At 38.1% G+C, this 19784-nt stretch overlaps 1 protein-coding gene across 176 annotated transcripts in view; it reads left to right on the top strand.

Annotated features, from left to right (window-relative positions):
• PTK2 (protein tyrosine kinase 2) overlaps window positions 1-19784 on the top strand; it is a 344180-nt gene that overhangs the window by 120249 nt on the left and 204147 nt on the right. For 127 of the 176 annotated variants that reach the window (NR_148036.2, NR_148037.2, NR_170672.1 and 124 more), the window contains 2 exons: window positions 2194-2360; window positions 17432-17519. Coding sequence is in view for 160 of the 176 variants with exons in the window: in NM_001352699.2 (NP_001339628.1) it covers window positions 2194-2360; window positions 17432-17519 (255 nt within the window). In the remaining 16 variants the exon portion in view is untranslated. Of the gene's footprint in view, window positions 1-2193; window positions 3961-17431; window positions 17520-19784 lie in introns of those variants that run through there. The other 49 variants (NR_148039.2, NR_148038.2, NR_170671.1 and 46 more) reach the window with 2 other exon arrangements.

Here is a 19784-nt window from a genome sequence, read left to right as displayed (position 1 = left end):
TCTGGGCTAAGCCTCTTTGAGACTGGTTTGCTGCAGGTCTCCTATATGTGTGCTGTGAGTTCAGCAGAGATGAAGTGACTTTTTCATGGGGTCACTACAGAAGGCAACTGGAGAAGCTGGGCTTTTTCTTAGGATGTGAATGGTGACAATTATGAGAAATGATTTGTGTTCCTTACTGCCTTATATTCAACATCAGGTTATGGAAGGTTAGTAGACCAAGTGACCTGAGGCAGATGGCTAGAGACCACTGTAGACACTGATCGCAGCTCTAACAAGAGAGAGCCGCCTCTTGAATTGGTAGTAGCAGTGAGCTGTGGAGCAAGGAGACTTACTGACCTGTGGTTTACCAAGGATAACTGGTGTTGGTGCGTACTGGGTGTTGATCTGGCAGAGCTGGACAGGGAACCAGGAGCTTTTGTGGGAATTTCACAGAGGTGCTAGCTTCCATCCTTTATAGTTCATGGATTTGTGTGTTGGCAAGAAGCTGCAGAAGTCACTTCTGAGAGAATTGTTAAAAGGTGCTCCTTCCTTTAGGCAAGTTCCCCACCCCAGAGCACAAGGTTTAAAGACTAGAACGTGGACTCTTTTCACCCTCAGCTGGATATCCTTGTGTAGGTAGGGTACTGTCATTTACAGTGGCCCTGTCAGGAATTCTGGGCTTGGATCAAAAAGCCAGGAAGGACATTTTATGCCTCTGTCAGTTCCACATAGGAGTCTGTAGGCTGCAAACATCCTTCCTGTCCTGATGAGAATTCATCATCTTTATGAACCTGTCTTTGACTCTTCCAGCCTGGTCCTCTGTTGATGCTTTCTCTCTTGATACCATGTTTACTCCTTTCCTTTGTCCCTCTCTCTGCCACTTCCTGTGCTTGGTAAACAACTTTGTACCTGGGATTGAGTTGTCTGAAAGAGAGATTGACTCTACCACTTCATTCACTCAGTGCCCTGGGAGGTCTGCCACATGCCAGGTACCAGTATGGGGAGCACAGCACAGCAGCACACATCCTCAGTGTGCATATACTGGGTTTTGGACAGTTTTTGTATATGGTACATGTTACGATTTATCTTTGCTTATGGAGAAGGCTGGGGATAATATCCTTTATCATGATCAGCAGCATTGTGCTGTAATAAAGCAATACTTGATGAGTGCAGGAACTTTTTTGTATGTCTTAACAAGTTGTATTATAGCTTCAATTAATTGCTAATTTTAAAAAGCAGTGATTATTTTCTTTCATAGACATTTTTCATTTTAATATCAGCATCATTTAAAAAAAAACTTGTCTTATCACCTAAAAGATTGAGAAGGTCACAGTTGGTTGTAATTTGCATACCCTCGTGTAAAGGACAGCAAATGGTTCTGTCATGTTCCCAAATGAGTCTTCCATACATGCTGCCCACTTAACAACATATTCTCTCATGGCCCTCATACCTAGGTAGGTACAGGGCAAGAGTCAGTTCTAACACTTAACCTGTCCATTGCTCCAGGAGAAATTTCACCATCTCTAGGGAACATTCCCTGATGACCTCATTCAAAGGTGACCTTCTCTGAACTCAAGGGAACACATGTTAGAGGCATTAGATTTGGGAGTATTTAAGATTGCTTCATAATAATTTTTAAAGAGCAAGTAATAATAAACTGATTAGGCCCGAATTCAAAGAACTTTTCATGTATTTCCAGTGTCACCAGAAACGTAGCCTTAACTGTGTGTTCCTGAATGTATGTTTTTTTAAAAAAATGATTATGAATGTTGCAGCCTGGTCTTGAACAGTATGATCTCCCTGTTTTTGAAAGTATAACCCCTCCTTGGGTCTGGACCTTAGAAAGTAGTAACTGAAAGATAGCTGGTGTGCTTTGACAGGTTGGGGGGTGATGACAGTGGAATTGCAGAAATGTGTTTTTAAGTTTACATGCCTTGTTAATAAAGAAAGGAGAGAATCTCTTTATGTTTTCTTTTCTAAAACTTCTCCTTGTTCTTGAAAATACTATTTCAGAAACAAAGATTCCTAAGTAATTTATTTAACTTGATATTCTCATACCAAAGATTTCTGATAATTGACTAAAAGAAATGAACATTGCATTACTTTTTAGCATATAGTTTTTTTTTTGTTTTGTTTTTGTTTTGTTTTGGTTTTTTTTTTTTTTTTTTTTTTTTTCAGTTTATAACAGTCATTCTTGTGGGGGGTATGTTTTAGGGCATCATTCAGAAGATAGTGGACAGTCACAAAGTAAAGCATGTGGCCTGCTATGGATTCCGCCTCAGTCACCTGCGGTCAGAGGAGGTTCACTGGCTTCACGTGGATATGGGCGTCTCCAGTGTGAGGGAGAAGTATGAGCTTGCTCACCCACCAGAGGAGTGGAAGTAAGATACAAACCTGCTTTGGTGTGATGCACACTTGATTTCTTTTGCTTTTTAAAAACATGCACAAGATAACAAATGTATATGTTTAATTTTCACACTGCTTGTCATTACAACTCTGGTATAAATAAAATTCGTTAGTAATTATTAACGAATGATCTCTTCTAGACCTCTAGTCTAGCTTTTGGGTATTATTAATTATACTTTGAGCCATCTGATTTCCGTTTTCTGTGATGGTCTTTTGCTAGCTAATTTCTCATCAGTGCTACTTTGTTTCAACCTTTGCTCCCAATAAAACTCAAATCATATATATATGTGTGTGTGTATGTATATATATATAATGTTTTCATCCCTTGTCATCCTTTTATGTAGCAGGAGTTGCTGTCACTCCTAAATACCTTATTAATGGGCTACATAGCTTGTTTTATTATGCCCTGTAATCTAGAGCGCACCTACAAAGAGTGAGTGTATATTTGATATTCACATGCAACGTTAAAATTAGGACGTAATCTCTTAATGACTCCTGTTGAAATGTTAAGGAAAATAAAATTATTTCAGGGCAAATTAAAAGAATTCCCTATAATTGTTCTTTTTCTGGTCTCCCCTACTAATTTTTTTTTTTTTTTTTTACTACTAAGCAACTCAAGATGTTACTAGGAAATTGTACATCTAAAATACATTTGTGAGAGGTATAACTTGTAAAAATGGGCTTCTTTCACTAGGGTTCTAATTTTTATAGGCAATGCTACAGAAATAAAGATAATTGTAGGCTGAAGAGTGCATTCAAAGGGTCAGTAACTTTGAAGGATCTAGATTGATTAGGGTAGACATTTTAAAAGACAAACATGTTAAGGTGAATAATTTTTTTTTTTTCTTTTTTGAGACAGAGTCTCGCCCTGTCACCCAGGCTGCAGTACGGTGGCATGAACATGGCTCACTGCAGCCTCTTGGGCTCAAGCGATTCTCCCACTTCAGCTTCTTGAGTAGCTGGGACTGTAGGCACAGACCGCCACGCCCAGCTAATTTTTGTATTGTTTACAGAGCTGGGGTTTCAGCATGTTGCCCAGACAGATCTCAAACTCCTGGGCTCAAACAGTCTGCCCACCTTGGCCTCCCAAAGTGTTGGGATTACAGGTGTGAGCCACCATGCCCAGCCTGAATAAATCTTATGTTGAATAAAACCCTACGCCAGTTACAGAGTTCATCAAAGAAATATAGCTGTATTTTCAAATTTGTCAGGTAGCTGGTACCAAGCTAACAAAATACTCCTTGAGAATATAGTTTCATTGGTTCACATCAATGGCTAGAGAAGATTTGACTTCCAACTATTTAGTCAATTAAGCAAGTGAGCATTCCAAAACAAAGGATATGTAAAAGTTAGATAAAAATACCTGCAGGGTTTTTGTGTTGTTTTGTTTTTTGAGATGGTCATCTTGCTGTGTTGCTTGGGCTGGTCTTGAACTCCCCTACTCAGGTGATCCTCCTGTGTCAAGGTACTTTTATTTAACACAAGTCTATTATCTTGGTTTATATGGACATGTCAGATGCAGACTTTGTTATAATGAAATCCTTAGTGCTCAATAAAATGGTCATTGAATCTAAATCTCTTAGTAGATTGTTGTTGTTCTTTTAAGCCAATTTATTTACTTTGTTTCAAGTAAAATTGAATAGGCACTGCTTTACTGACTGGGTCTTGAATCCTCAAAAGGAAGAAAAATTTAGGTGGGGTTATATAGAATTTCTCACAGATTGACCCTACTAGATGAAAGGGTGATCGGGATACTACTGCTCATAATAATACTAATGATGATGATGATGATGACATTGATGCCTTGTCGTCATAAGTGGCTGAGCCAGGGACTCTGCCATCTGTATGCTGCTTACACCAGATAACTTAAATATACATTTCATTTAACTGTCCCCAAACCCTAGGAGTTAGAGACTATCGTTCTTATTTTACACATGAAAACAAAATTGATAAACTTGTAGTTACATAGTTTGTGACACAGCTTTGATTCGAACTTAGCTGTCTGGCTTCATAGTACAGGTTTTAAAAATTAGATTGCCTATCTCAATATGGGAATAATGTTGTCTTAAATACTCTGAAAATGTAGCTAGGCTTTTAAGATTAGTGAAAGTTGGCTAGGTGTGGTGGCCCACATCTGCAATCCCAGCACTTTGAGAGGCTGAGGCAGGCAAATCACTTGAGTTCAGGAGTTCGAGACCAGGCTGGCCAACATGAGTGAAACCCTGTCTCTACTAAAAATACAAAAATTAGCCAGGCGTGGTGGCGGGTGCCTGTACTCCCAGCTACATTGGAGGCTGAGGCAGGAGAATTGCTTGAACCTGGGAGGCGGAGGTTGCAGTGAGCCGAGATCATGCCATTGCACTGCAGCCTGGGTGACAGAGTAAGACTCTGTCTCAAAAAAAAAAAAAAAAAAAAAAAAAGGATTAGTGAAAGTTACATGCATAGTAGGTAGAGATGATGACAGAAGAAAATGTGACAGATAAACTGATGAGGTATTTTCAAGAGTTATGAGGGTTAATACTGATGGTTCTGTATATTTAAAAGGGGAGGAATTTAAGTGTCAGTAAGGAAAAGGAGACTATCAAAAATAACCAAGAGAATTTGGATAGTCCAAATAGAAGTTGTAGAAATCACAGGATTGATAAAATAGCAGATTAGACATAGCTGAAAAATTAGTAAACAAGAGAAAAAATTTTCCAGAACATACCACGGAGAGATGAAAAGATGGAAAATGTGAATGCAAGTCTATGTAACATGAAGAATGATGTCAACCCATTTCTAACAGAAACTCAAGAAGAATAGAATAAAAAAGAATGGAGAAGAGGAGGAGATAATCCCAAGAGATAATGGTTGAGAATATTTTATAATCAATGAATGACATGAGCCTTCAAATACAGGATTAACAAAATCCCAAATAGAGTCAATAAAACTAAACTGATGCATTGGCAGATTGTATTAATAGTAAAATATTGTTGTACCAGAGAACAAGACAGGATGACACCCAGAGAAAAATTCAGACTTTTCAACAACAATAATAGATGCCAAGAAAATAGTGGGATAATATGTTCAAAGTAGTGAGGAAAGTAGCTGGCAACCTGTTTTTGTTTGCCCAGTTAAATTGCCATTCAAGAACAGGGTGAGATAAAGACATTTTCCTTAGAGGATTTGCCACCAAAGGAACCTCTTACAAAAACACCTTAGGAAAAACGAAAATCATCTCTGAAGGGGAGGGTCTCGGATGCAAGATGGAAAAAATTGGGTAGATCTAAATATGCATTGGCCCCATGAAACAAGATAGTAACTGATTTTTAATTTGAAGAACGCACACATAAAACATAAGCAGAAAGGGAACAAAGTATATCAGACAAATAGTAACCAAGGGGAAAAGGATTATACCCTGTTAATATCGTATGAAAAAAATTTTAAACATCTTTTAAAGCATCATTAGGGATATAGAAGGCAATTACAATACAAGCTATTATCACCAAGAATTTAATAAATATTCCTTACTTAGCTTTCTGGATACCAAACTGCTTTGGTTTTCCTTCATTGACCATTCATAGCCTTTCTGAACTGTTTGGCCTTTAAATGTTAGGGTGCTCCAGTAACCTGTTTTCTTCTCTTTCTAGTCTCCCTACACCTGCCTTGGGCATTAAATCATACATTTGATTGGATGGAGGCAGGGAAACTGAGAAACAAATTAGTGGAATAACCCAGGCAAAAATCCTAAAAGATGGTGCAGTAGGGGAATAATAATAGAAGTTGTGAGAAACAGTTGTACAGGATTGTATTTTTAAGGAGGGAGCTGATGGGATTTGCTGATGTATCTCTTAGAATGTAAGCCATCCAATTATATTTATAAATCATTTGGGCTCAGAAACTTCCAGTAGCTTCTCATCACACTCAGAGCAAACTCTGGAGTTTCTGATGACCTCACAGTCCTTATCTCCTTCTGCTCTTCCTCTTCCTCCTCCACTCTGGTGACATCAGTCCTTTTGATTTCAGTTTTCCTTCCATTAAATTCTTTAATATATTTTAGAGTTCTTTCCATAAATACTCAAGTTGGGATCTGATGTGATGGTTTCTTCTCTATTGCCAGACTTTTTAATTGTTGAATAATATGGCCCTTCATCTTAATTAACGCTTTCTTTGTCTCACCTCCCTTTTTTCCTTTATCGTTTACAACTTTTCACTTTCTCAACTCTAGCTCCCTGGCTTTCTTATTGGGGCCTTTGAACTTGGTGTGACTCTGCTGAGTATGTTCTGCCTTTTCTAGGCATGGCTTGGACCTCCTCATTCCAGGAATGTGCTTGAATGTTACTGCTTTCCTGTGGTCTCCTACTGGCTACCTAAAGAGCCCACTGCCTACCTGAAGCTCCTTGTGATTTTTCATCAGCTCATATACTCTGTTAATTTTTTACAGACCTCTGAAGACTGATATTATATATGTGTTGTTTATCTTTCTCAGGGACTTTGTTTTCTTCACTCCTCTATTCCTGGTTCTAGTCATGCCTGGTATACAATAGGCACCCAATAAGCAATATTTGAATGAAAACTGACTAAATAATATATTGATAATGCATGTGTAAAAGAAGCCCAGAAGCAAAGTAATTTGATGGTTTAGAAACTTGTTTTCAGCTAGGAACCAAACAATATTAGCTTAAGTTAATAACAGTATTACCATATTAACACATGTTGTTTACTGTGTGTCAGACATTTGATGTAGTTCATCAAAATTAATTTCTATTATGATAGTCTTATCATGTAGGTACTCTCTTTTTGCCATTTTGCTTGTGAGAAAGCCATACTTTGGAAAGGCTTAATAACTTTTCCTGGAGATCATATGGCTTAAATGGGTGGTATACTAGAAATTGAATCCAAACACTCAGCTGTTTCTTCTCTACTCCTGTATTAGATATGTAAATACAAGAAGCTGAACATGACAAATTTTTTTCTGTCACCTGCAGACATCTAAGTTCATAGGTGGGTATGTGAGGGCAGCTGCAGTTCTGGCTTTAATTCTGAGAAGTAAGATCTCTAGTCAAATGAAAGTGCTAGGACTCAGCAATATAATTGGGTATAAATTTTGATTTCCATGACGTTTTTGGACATAGCTTGTTCTTTTGTGCTATCTGCTATAGAGTCTATTCATACTGTTGAATAAACCTGAAATACAGACTTGTTCACTTGGTCTTCACTCTTCAAACAGCTTGGTAAGCTAGCTTGCAGCACACGTATTTGGTCATAACTGTCTCAGGCAGGATGACCTTAGAGAGCTCTTTGTCATGACATGTCACTGGGAGAAAGGAAGAGCTGGATTGATAAATGGCTATCCATGTAGGAAGAAGAGCAACAACAACATTGGATACTACCTCAATACACAAATCTATGAGATGTACAAGTAGTGAAACATCACATGCAAAACTGTAAAAAAATAAGTTTAGTGGGAAGTATAGTTGAATGTATCTCTGGCCCTGGGATAGGAAGATTTTCTTAAGAGCTCCAAAACGTTCACTATAAAAAGAAAGGCTGGCAAATTCTACTGTACTAAGATTAGGACATTCCGCAAAAGATATATTTTGAAAGTACAAGAACAAGTTGCAAAGTGGGAGAAGATATTTGTAACACATGCAGTCAACAAAGGGTGGTGGTAAGAGTTCTGATCAATATAAAAATTGCTGACTGGGCACTGTGGCTCATGCCTGTAATCCCAGCACTTTTGGAGGCCAAGGTGGGCGAATCACCTGAGGTCAAGAGTTCGAGACCAGCCTGACTAACGTGGTGAAACCCCCGCCTCTACTAAAAATACAAAAATTACCAGGCGTCATGGCGGACGTCTGTAATCCCAGCTACTGGGGAAGCTGAAGCAGGAGAATCGCTTGAACCTGGGAGGTAGAGGTTGCAGTGAGCCGAGATCGTGCCACTCCACTCCAGCCTAGGCGACAGAGCGAGACTCCGTCTCAAAAACAGAAAAAAAAAAAATTGCAGACACTTCAGTAATAGATACACAAGAGACATGAAGATGTTATCATAAAAGAGAAAATAAGTTTGGCCAATTAACATAGAAGGCACTGTCAACTTCATTATTGATCAGGGAAATGCAAATCGATACCTTAGTGAAACTCTACCTCCAGTTGGCAAAAAGTCAGCTGTCTGACACTCTCTGTAGCTGGAGAGGCTGTGGACCTGACAGTCTTTTACCTGCACTGCTAGGGAGAATGTTTTAATAAATTGGTGAAACCACCTGGGAAACCAGCTTGGCATTCTCTTGAATGTCAAGTGATTACATGCCCTACCATCCTGCAGTTCCCTTTCAAGTTCTCTCTTTCAGAGACTCTAGCTCTAGTTTCTATACTAGGCTATAACTGCAATAATGTTCATGGCATAAGCAGTGACAAGTCACTTGGGGATTATTCACACAGTAGAATGTCACACAAGTTGAAATGAATGAACTACAGGTACAAGTAACAATATGAATGAAACTTAGCTGTATAACATCATGTGACAAAGTAAGTCCTAGCACAACTTTGTGAGTACGCTAAATACTACTGAATTTCACACCTTAAAATGGTTAATATTTTATGTTAATTTTACCTCAATTAAAAAAGTCCTGGAATATGACATACAGCATGACACTTTTTATAAAGTAAAAAGTGAAAAAACCTAACGAGATTGTTGGGAACACATGTTAAGACCATATGGAACATGTAAATAAGGGAATGGTAAATTCCTTCAGAAGTCACTGGAAGGCCCAGAGCCGTGGCAGGGGTAGCCACCAGCTCTTCCCAATCCCCACAGGCTCCAGGGGAACTTCTGTTGACCATTAGGGTCTGAGGCTGAGTTTGAAAATCACTCCTGAAGTGTGCATGTGCACCCCAGCCTGTCCCCAGCGCTTCCCCAGTCAGTCCAGGGGCAGGTGGGAGCTTACCTGTTTCTAGGATGCTGGGAGAGCCCAGTTAAGTAGGTAGTATTTGTTAGGAGCTTGAGTCAGGCAAAAATGTTTAATCAATTTTGTATTTATTCACTTATGGTCAACATATTGATTGTATAATGTAGGCTATAAAGTATACATAAAAGTAGAAAATTTAAAAGCATGCAGCGGGCCAGGCGTGGTGGCTCACACCTGTAATCCCAGCACTTTGGGAGGCTGAGGCAGGTGGATCACTTGAGACTGTGAGTTCAAGACCAGCCTGGCCAACATGGTGAAACCCCGTCGCTACCAAAAGTACAAAAATTAGCCAGGCATGGTGGTGCACACGTGTAATCCCAGCTACTTGAGGGGCTGAGGCTGGAGAATCGCTTGAACCTGGGAGGTGGAGGTTGCAGTGAGCTGAGATAGTGTCACTGAGTAGCTGGGACTACATCCTTACGCCACAACACCTGGCTAATTTTTTGTATTTTAGTAGAGACAGGGTTTCACCATGTTGGCCAGGATGGTCTTGATCTCCTGACCTCATGATCTGCCCACCTTGGCCTCCCAAAGTGCTGGGATTATAGGTGTGAGCCACTGTGCCTGGCCTAGTATGGTTTATTTTTTTAAAGAAAATCTTGGTTAAATAGTTGTTTTGAGACAAGGTCTTGCCTTGTTAAACAGGCTGGAGTGCAGTGGTATGATCATAGCTCGCTGTAGCCTTAAACTCCTGGGTTCAAGTAGTCCTCCTTTCTTAGCCTCCCAGTTACCTAGGACTAGAGGTGTTTGCCATCACACTCAACTAATTTTTAAAATAATTTGTTTGTACAGACAAGGTCTCATTGTGTACTGGGATCATAGGCGCATGCCATCACGGTTGGCTGATTTTATTTTATTTTAGTAGAGACAAGGTCTTGATATGTTACCCAGGCTGATCTCAAGCTCCTGGGCTGAAGCAGTCCTCCTGCCTTTGTCTCCTAAAGTACTGAGATTACAGGCATGAGCCACCATGCCCCACTTCTGATTCAAAGGTCTTATTTCAGGTTTTATTTTGTTATTGCTTTTAATGGTTGTCATAGCTAAAAGTATTCTTGACAAAGATATGCATAATTAAATAGAAGGGGTACCAGTATCTTTGTGTGCTTAATGATGATACTGATTTTTCATTGCCAGTCACCAATTATGTAAACATTTGTTGAAATTTGGTCAATAAATTTCCATATTCCATGATCATTCCTTTCAGTATAATTGATTTTGAAATATATTTTCATATTTTAACATCAGATTTTTTTATTTAGTGGAGAAATTTTGAAATGTTAGAAAATTTTGTTTTCAGATTTTTTATGAGCAGTGCATCCACTCCTTTTTGGTGACAAAGTTATAAATTGATGGAAATAGTTTAGACTTCAAAATGGTCTGTCCATAACATGACAGCATGCTTTTCTTTGTTGTTTTTAATTTTAATCAGGATTAACATTTTGGCCAAATAATTCTTTGTTGTAGGGAGCTTTTGTATATGTTGTATGGCTTCTACCCACTAAATGATAGGAGCCCACCACCCCACCCTCTTCAGTTGTAACAGGCAAAAATGTGTCCAGTTACTGCCAGTTGTCCCCTAGGGGAAACAGGAAGGGGGCAGAATCTCCCAAGGTTCAGAACTACTGCTCTAAAATATAACCAAAAGTTGTTAAAAATCTCCAAAAATTATTCTTAATTTCATAAACTATCCCATTAGTATTCAAATTTTAACTTGTTTATTAAATATCATGACAAAATTTTTAAAGATAAATTATTTGAATTAGGATCCAAATTAGGTGTGCCCTTTGTCTTTTAAGTCTTTGTAATCTATAACATCTTTATATCCAGTTTCTCCCCTTTGCTTGCAGTTTGTTAAGGAAGCTGTGTTGCTTGTCCTACAGGTTTCCCCTCATCTGGATTTTGTCCGTGACATCTGTGTCCATTGTCTTTGATGCCTTCTGATGTCTTCTCTGCAAAGCCTTTGTGTCATCTTTACTAAGTTAATTCTTACTCTATAATATATTGCTATTATGTGGGTTATATTTTATTATTTCTGTTTACCACTTATTTCTAAATTGAGCACTTAGCTCACTTGTTTTCATTCATTCATGTTTACTGATAAATGTATTTTACTATAAATGGTCATTTTAGTTGTGTCTATGTCTCACAACTTTGTTAGATAGTGTTTTATTATCAATCAGTGTTTTGATATTTGTTTCAAGATTTTTGGAAGAAACCAAGGGGTGATTAAGTGTATTGTTTAGGTTTCTGCCATATGTGCTTATAAAAGAAAAGATTATTGGTTATTGATTTTATTTTGTTGCATTATAGGAAGCATAACAATTTTATGGTGTTGACTTTTTTTAACTATGTTGAGATGATTCTTTGTGCCTTAGTACTTAGTTGATGTTTTCATTCCTTTTGAAAAGAAGGTATGTTCTGTTATTATAAAGAGGGCGGGTGTGTTTGTGTACATTTTTTCAAGCTTATCGTCATGTTATTTGAAGATTATATTGTTCATACTTTGCTTGAAAAGTGACATTTAATGTATTTAATTGTATATATTATACACATATATGTTTTGCTACATGCTCATCTCAAAGAAAGTATTCAACTGTAATTGTCGATTTACTTTTTTTTTTTAGTAATTCTGTCTTGTGATTCTTTATGATTTTAAGGCTATGTTGTTAAGTACATATAAGTTCATGATTATAATATCTTCATCTATTCTTTCTGTTACCAGTACCTAGTGCCCCTCTTTCTTTGTTTATGTGTTTCCTATCAGCAACATATTTATTGTCTTTGTGTATGAATTGATGAATTGTAGCCCATTAAATTAGAGGTGTGCCCATTCCCAATTTCATTCTCTATTCTTTGCTTCCGGAGGTAACTGATATCCTGACTTTTGTCATAATCATTTTTTTGCTTAAAAAAAAAAGGTTTTACTACTTATGTATTGTCCAAGTCTGACATCGTGATCATTCATTATCTGAATCAGAAAAAAGTGGCTTTATGATGCTGTTAAGGGAAAGCTGTGCTGATCAGTCACAGTCTCCCTGAGCAGAACACACTACTGATTCTATACAAGGTTTTTGGAAGTATGAAGTTGAGAAGCTGGCCAACTTTCAGAGGTGGAAATGGGTTGGCATCAATTTTAGATGTATGGTTACCCAAGTTAGACTGTTCATCTTTAGAAGCATGTTCTTTAGAGTTAGTTCCTGTTTGGCTAAATTAAAGAAGAAGCTGCCAGTCAGTTAGTTGACTTGCAGATGCGTGTTCATTGAGGCAAGATATCAGGCGCTTTAAAATTAGTTTCAAGTGGGTCTGTGGCTGTACAACTCATATTTATTGACCAAGCTGATTTAAAACTGGTTTTGTGTGTGTATGGGTTGGGGGGGCGGGGGCGGGTGTTTGTCACCACAGCTACAAAAGGGTCAGTCTTGTATATGTGGGAATTTAAAAATTCTCAATATAATATCAAAAGTTGCAAAATAGTACACAGAAATCCTGTGTACCCTTCAGCCAGTTTCCCTAAATATTAAAATCTTAAATAATATAGCTAGTAAAACCAGGAGATTAACATTGATACAGTCCTAGTAACAAATCTATATGACTTATTCACATTTCCCAATTATTCCACTTACCGTTCCTTTTCTGGTTGAGGATCAATTCAGAATACCACATTACGGTCATGTCTCCTTAAGTCTTCTCTAATCTGAGACAGTTCCTTAATCTGTGTCATTATGACCTTTACATTTTTGAAGAATACTCACTGGTTATTTGTATTGTGTTCTTCAATTTGAGTTTGGTATTGTTTTTATGATTAAGGTTTTGCGTTTTTGGCAAAACGGCTGCAGTCAAGATGTCATACCTTTCTCATTGCATTGTATCAGGAAGTCCATAATGATGGCACAACTTAATTTACAGGTGGTTCTAACTTGGATCATTTGGTTAAGGTAATGGAAGCCAGGTTTCTCCACTACAAGGTTACTGTTTCCCCTTTATAATTAAGAAATATCTTCTGGGAAGATACATAGATACTGCAACATTCTGTTTCTCACTTTCACCCACTGATCTTAGCATTCATTGATGATTCTGTCTTGCAGTGATTATTACTGTAATTTTTGCTAAATGATAAATTTCTATTTCCATTCTTCCCTTTTTTAAAAAAATTGGAAGTCTATTGTAAGAACAGACTGTTCACACCACATTTTTTTTATGAGGGCATCTGTGTTGTGTGAAGTTAATGCTTTGTTTACTTCACTAAACACGGACTAGCTAGCTAACCCTTCTCAGTATCAGGACTATCATATTCTTAATCTAGCTCAGCTTTTCAAAAACATACCCTCTCCCTCCTTATCCTCAGTTGGTTACTTTTGGGTGTCTTAGTGCTCATATTTGGTGGTAAGACTGAGGAAGCTGGATGACAATGGCATGAATAGGAATATATTGCCTAAGAGTAGGAACGAAAGAATGATTTTATTTGGGGCATAGTATTTAGCTGCTGTTGGGAATCCATGGAGAGGCGTATAGCAGGGAAGTGGAAATATGTATCAGGATGCAACTAGACTCTTAAAATGGCAAACAGACATGTAAAGAAACTGACGAGTTTCGTGTAAGAGCAGAGTGGGGATGTCAGCTCTAGTGGGGCACGAGAACATGGTGTCAGGCATTGCAGTTTAAGGACTGAGGAAAGTTTCAGTAGAGTTTTGTGTGAAATATGCTAGACTGTAGTGTGTTGAAGCAGGGAACAAAGTTCTTTTTAACTTTCGTTTTAGGTTCAAGGGTACATGGGCAGATTTGTTACATAGGTAAACTACGTGTCACAGGGGTTTGGTTTACAGATTATTTCATCAACCAGGTATTTTTCTGATCCTCTCCCTCCTCCCATCCACCACTCTTGTTAGTCCCCAGTGTCTTAATTCCTGCTTTATGTGGATGTGTTCTCATTGTTTAGCTCCCACCAAAATTCTTAACATGATCTAAAGGCCTTGTCTAACTTCACATAAGCAGGCTTGAGTTAAGTTCTTTTCTGTTTTTAAGACATAGGTGCCTTTTCTTCGTATCATTGTGCCTTTAAATATTCATGCATGTTCTTGCTGGAGAGGAATCCCATGCCTACCTCTAAATAGCTGTGGGATCTAGGGAAGATTATGTAATTCCCTAAAATTCTCTTGCCAATCTGTGAACATAAGGTGAATATTAACCTGGCTATTATTTCTCACCCAGAATCTTGCTGTCTCCTCCTAGTCTCCCTCCTTCTTCCTTTGGTCCCCATTGTCTCTTCTGCATGGTGTATACCCTAATCATGAAAAATGAAAACCCTGTGATGTCATTTCTCTGTGCACAGCATGCCATTGACTTGCTTTCTCATTGAGAAAGAACCCGACTATCATGACTTGGTAAGGGTCTGTGTGAAGCTTCATTTCTACTCACTGCCCTCATGCAGCCTGCCCCAGCTACACTTGCCTTCCCAAGCATCCTCCAGCTGCAGGGCCTTTTCATAGTCTGTTCCACCTGACTAGAACACTTTTTCTCTGCATATAACTGTATAACTCCCTTCCTCATCTCCTTTATTTAGATCTTTGTTCAGATATCATCATATCAGAGTGTCCATCATTGACTACCCTTTATAAAAATAATACTTAATCATTTGTTATTCCCCTTTGATTTGTTTTTATGACATTGACTGCCATCTCACATATATTTGTGTATTTGCTGTCTGACTTCTGCCACAAAAATGCAAACTTTTTGGGAGTTAGCACTTTGCCTGTTATTCACTGTTGAATTTCCAACCACTCCAACTGTACCTGAGACATGATCTGTGCTGGAATAAACAGTTATCGAGTTATCACTAACAATAAACCTTAGAAACCATTTATTATGATATGCCAGTGACTGTTCTGGGTGTTTTGTGTTTACTGACTCATTTATTTCTTGTAACATCCTTATAAGGAAATTGAGGCACAGAGAAGTGATAGCTGACAGTGAATAAGTGGCATGGCCCAAATTCAGGCATAGGTGATCTTTATCTAGAGCCCATGTTCCTTATGCTTCTCTAAAAAGAAATCATCTGTGTAAAATGCTCGTCACAATTCCTGTCATACACTAAATGGACAGAAAATGTTAGTTGATGATCACCAGCAGCATCAGAATGCTGGATGTTAAGAGAATGGATGTGGAGCCAGGCTGCCCATTGTTTCATGTTGAACCTTTTTCCTTATCTTTAATATGGGAGCTTCCCCCAACCAAAAAAATAAATAAATAAAATGGGAGTCCCATTAATACCAAAAGCCTCCTTGGACCTGTTTGAATCGTTGACTGGAACTGATAACTTTTTGCTGAGCATTTTTTTTTAGTCTGCAGAATGCGAATAATTATACCTTTCTCCTCTGATTATTAAATTGATTAAGAGAAATAGTGCCCAGGCCAGATGTGGTGGCTCACACGCCTGTAATCTCAGCACTTCGGGAGGCCAAGGCAGGCGGATTTGTTGAACTGACTCAGGAGTTCGAGACCAGACTGGGCAACATGGCAAAACCCCAGCCCTACTAAAAATACAAAAGTTAGCCAGCCATGGTGGCAGGTGTCTGTAGCCCCAGCTACTTGAGAGGCTGAGGTGGGAGGATCGCTTGAGCCCGGGGAGGCGGAGGTTGCAGTGAGCCGAGATTGTGCCACTGCACTGCAGCCTGGGCAACAAAGCCAGACCCTGTCTCAAAAAAAGAGAGAGAAATAGTTCACATAAAGTAGTTACGTGCCTGGTAAATCCTAAGTTGAAAATAAATGAAATCTGTTATACTTACATAATAACCCAATGTAGAATATCTACAGTAAGTTATTGAACTCTGTCTGAGAGTAAAAGTGAAATGAAACCGAATTGTTTGGCAATTTTGTATTTTAATAAGATGGACATTTATAAGTCTTAGCAGAACTTGCGTATGTGTACCAAACTTTGCTTCCTCAAAAGATTGCATTGAAATTTTATTGAGTGGTTAAAAAAAAATACCATTAAGCCACAGAATGGAAGAGGATATTCACTATGTCTAACAAAGGCCTCAAATCTAGAATATATAAAGAACACCTACAAATCAATAGGTGGTGAAGGAGAAAAGCTAGACCATTTAGTCGGAAAACAAGGACAAAAACTTGAACATGGCCAGGGGTGGAGGCTCACGCCTATAATCCCAGCACTTTGGGAGGCCAAGGTGGAAGGATCCCTTGAGACCAGGAGTTCAAGACCAGCCTGGGCAGCATAGTGAGACCCTCTCTCTACAAAAAATAAAAAACTCAACAAGCACTTCACAAAAGAGGATAGTCAAAATGACCAAAAAGCATGTGAAAGTATTCACTTTCATTACTTACCAAAGAAATGCCAATTAAAATCACCATGCACTATCACAGTATGCCAATCAGAGTGAGTAAAACAAAAAAGTTAGAAAATGCCAAGTGGAGGCAAAGATATAGAGGAACTGGAACACCCCCATGCTGTTGGTGGGAGTTTGACTTGTTACAACCTCTTTGGCATGCTGTTTGATAATATCTACTAAAGCTAATGGATGTATTTGTTATCCAGTGCTCCTAGGTATATATGCAACCGAAATGTGTACATACGTTTACCAGAAGACATTTATAAAAGTGTTCATATGGGTAGAGCCACACATACACATAAAGAGAGAATGAGAAAGATAAAGAGCATTCTGGTGATGTTGGTTTGTTTTATCCATTCTTAAAGCTTAGCTTTCTGAACAAGTAAGAGTACATACTGTGCAGTTCCACTGATAAAAATTTAGACGTGGGAAGTCGTGGAAGATGTTAGAAGTCAGGGCAGTTCTTCCCCTGAGCAGTGGTGGAGAATGACCCATGGGTTGGAAGGACTTCTGGGCCTCTTACTATGCTCTGTTTCCTTGAATCACTGAGCTGTAGCACATTTATGATATGTGCTCTTTTTTTGTGCTAAAATGTTTAAAAATTACATTTAAAGATTAATTGATGATAGCTTTTATTTGAAATCATCTTTCAGAGTAATTAGGAATGCTATACTCACAATATTATAATTGTAGACTGTAAATTGAGAAAATGACTGATTTCTAATTGTTCTGTTTTGTGAATTATTTTTAGATATGAATTGAGAATTCGTTATTTGCCAAAAGGATTTCTAAACCAGTTTACTGAAGATAAGCCAACTTTGAATTTCTTCTATCAACAGGTATTAGAGACTGCTTTCATATACTTTTTTGTTTGTTTCTTTGAATCCTATTTATTGCATATTTTTATTTTCAAATTTGATTAAAGCTCACGTTTGGAGGAATAGAAATTTGTTGCTGAATGGCAATAAGAATCTTTTAACCAATAAGAAATTATTAATTTTTTTGTTCTTTGTGAGCTTTTGTATACTTGAGCAAATCTTAAAAGATAACTTCTATTATATGGAGACAGTAGGTCTACAATCATTTCTTGAGCTTTAATTTAAATACAATTATTATGCCTGAATAGCAATGAATTTGTCATAGGTAGAGATTGTTGCAGAGCCAACTATACCCATATAAAATTGATCTGCTTTGCTTTTTACCCCGTAAGGCATTAGATAGACAATAAATACATGTAAGGTAAAATGCCAAAAATGCTAATAAACATCAGAAAGACATTTGTACATATAATTTTGTCATTAAATGTACTTGGTAATTTTTTTTGCTTTAATAAAAATATTTATTAACTAACTATTCTGGACCGGGAATGCAGAAATAAATCGCATAATCCACACCTTTAAATTCTTCTGTCTAGTGGAGGATTCCTGTCATCAGTTGCTTTGTGTTTGAGCCTTTGCTGTTAGTAAGCACAAATGACGTGACTGTGCATAGAAGAGTCTGCTGACCCAGTATAGATTTGGTATTGAGATGGCTCCACTGAAAAGCATCATTTGAGGAGTCTTCAACTTTGTAGAAAAGGAAGAGTTGTGTTTTCTAGACAAGAACACGGAGGGGAGAGAGAAAATGTGGTGCAGTCTTAGCTAAAATAGTTCATAACATTTTGGTGAGAGAGGGACCACAAACATTATGTAAACAGGGGTTTAGGTTTTCTCCTGCAGATATTGGGAGCCATTTAAAAACGTTAGTTAGCAAATGCCGTAACCAGAATTTTTTTTTTTGAGACCACTCTGATTAGATGGCAGTATCAGGGATAGATTGAATTTTTAAAAGGTTGCAAGCATGTTTAGAGGCTCTTCAATCATTCTGGCAAGAAATTAAATAAAAGTGAAAGTATATTATAATAAGCAAATTTAGTGGATGGATTTGATAGGACCCAGAGATTGAACTAAAACAGAATATGAAAATAAGGAAGAAAAAGGCTTATTATGTAAGTCTAGGCACTTACTGCCATGAAAGAGCAATGGTGGATTAGATTCAAAAGAAGGAGGTAAGAAGGTAAGTTGTTCTATATTTTTCTATGTGAGATAATGATAGATGTTACCATTTAAAAGATTCAAGCTGAGAGAGTAGGAAGCTAAGGAAGTTTCCAGCTGTTGGCGGGGGTGTGTCTGTTTTCATCTTGTCTGTGAAGAAGTAGTCACATAGGAGATAGGTTGGGGCCTGCTGCTTTACCTAACACCTTTTTGGCACCAGCGACTGGTTTTGAGGAGGACAGTTTTTCTACAGACCAGGGCCACAGGGTGTGGCAGGGTGGGGTGTGGGGGAATGATTTCGGGATGAAACTGTTTGACCTCAGATCATCAGGCCTTAGGTTCTCATAAGGAATGCGCAACCTAGATCCCTCACACGTGCACCTCACAACAGGGTTTGCGCTCCTATGAAAATCTTATGCCACTGCTTATCTGACAGGAGGCAGAGCTCAGGCGGTAATGCTCGCTTGCCCACAGCTCACCTCCTGCTGTGTGGCCTGGTTCCTAATAGGCTACTAACTGGTACTGATCCATGGCCCAGGGTTTGGGGAACCTTGAGGTAAGGGATTGGTGACAAGTTTTGAGGGTTTACGATAATACAGAGTTGAATATGAAAGGGAGTTAAGTTGGTAAAATGGAAAGATTAAGAAGGCGTTTTTAGATTCCAGCTGAGCTTATTGGAAGCCTACTCATTGCAAAAATAATTTTCATCTTACAGACTGGTTCTCATGTATTATTACATCTCATCCTTTAGGAATCTGTTGAACTTCATATTTTGGCGAAGGAGATAACAAGAGAGTTTAAATAACTCATGTTTATTTAGCATTTTTCTCTTGGTATGTGATCTGTGTCACTACTTGTATTACTTCTTTGAAAAAAAATTCTACCCACCGAGGAAATACATGGGTACTTTAGTAACATTGATTTCCAGAATGCATAATACAGGCTTAAGTGACTCCTTTTTATAATTTCTAGGCTAACCTAAAAGTCTGCAACTTTTTTGTTCCTAGTTCACACTGTTACTAGGTTGTCCTACTTTTTCTTTGTTGGAAGACTTTCCTATATGATAAAGTG

Source organism: Homo sapiens, chromosome 8 (assembly GCF_000001405.40).
Source record: "Homo sapiens chromosome 8, GRCh38.p14 Primary Assembly".
Taxonomy (NCBI): Eukaryota; Metazoa; Chordata; class Mammalia; order Primates; family Hominidae; genus Homo; species Homo sapiens.
This window is presented reverse-complemented; position numbering and strand designations above follow the sequence as displayed.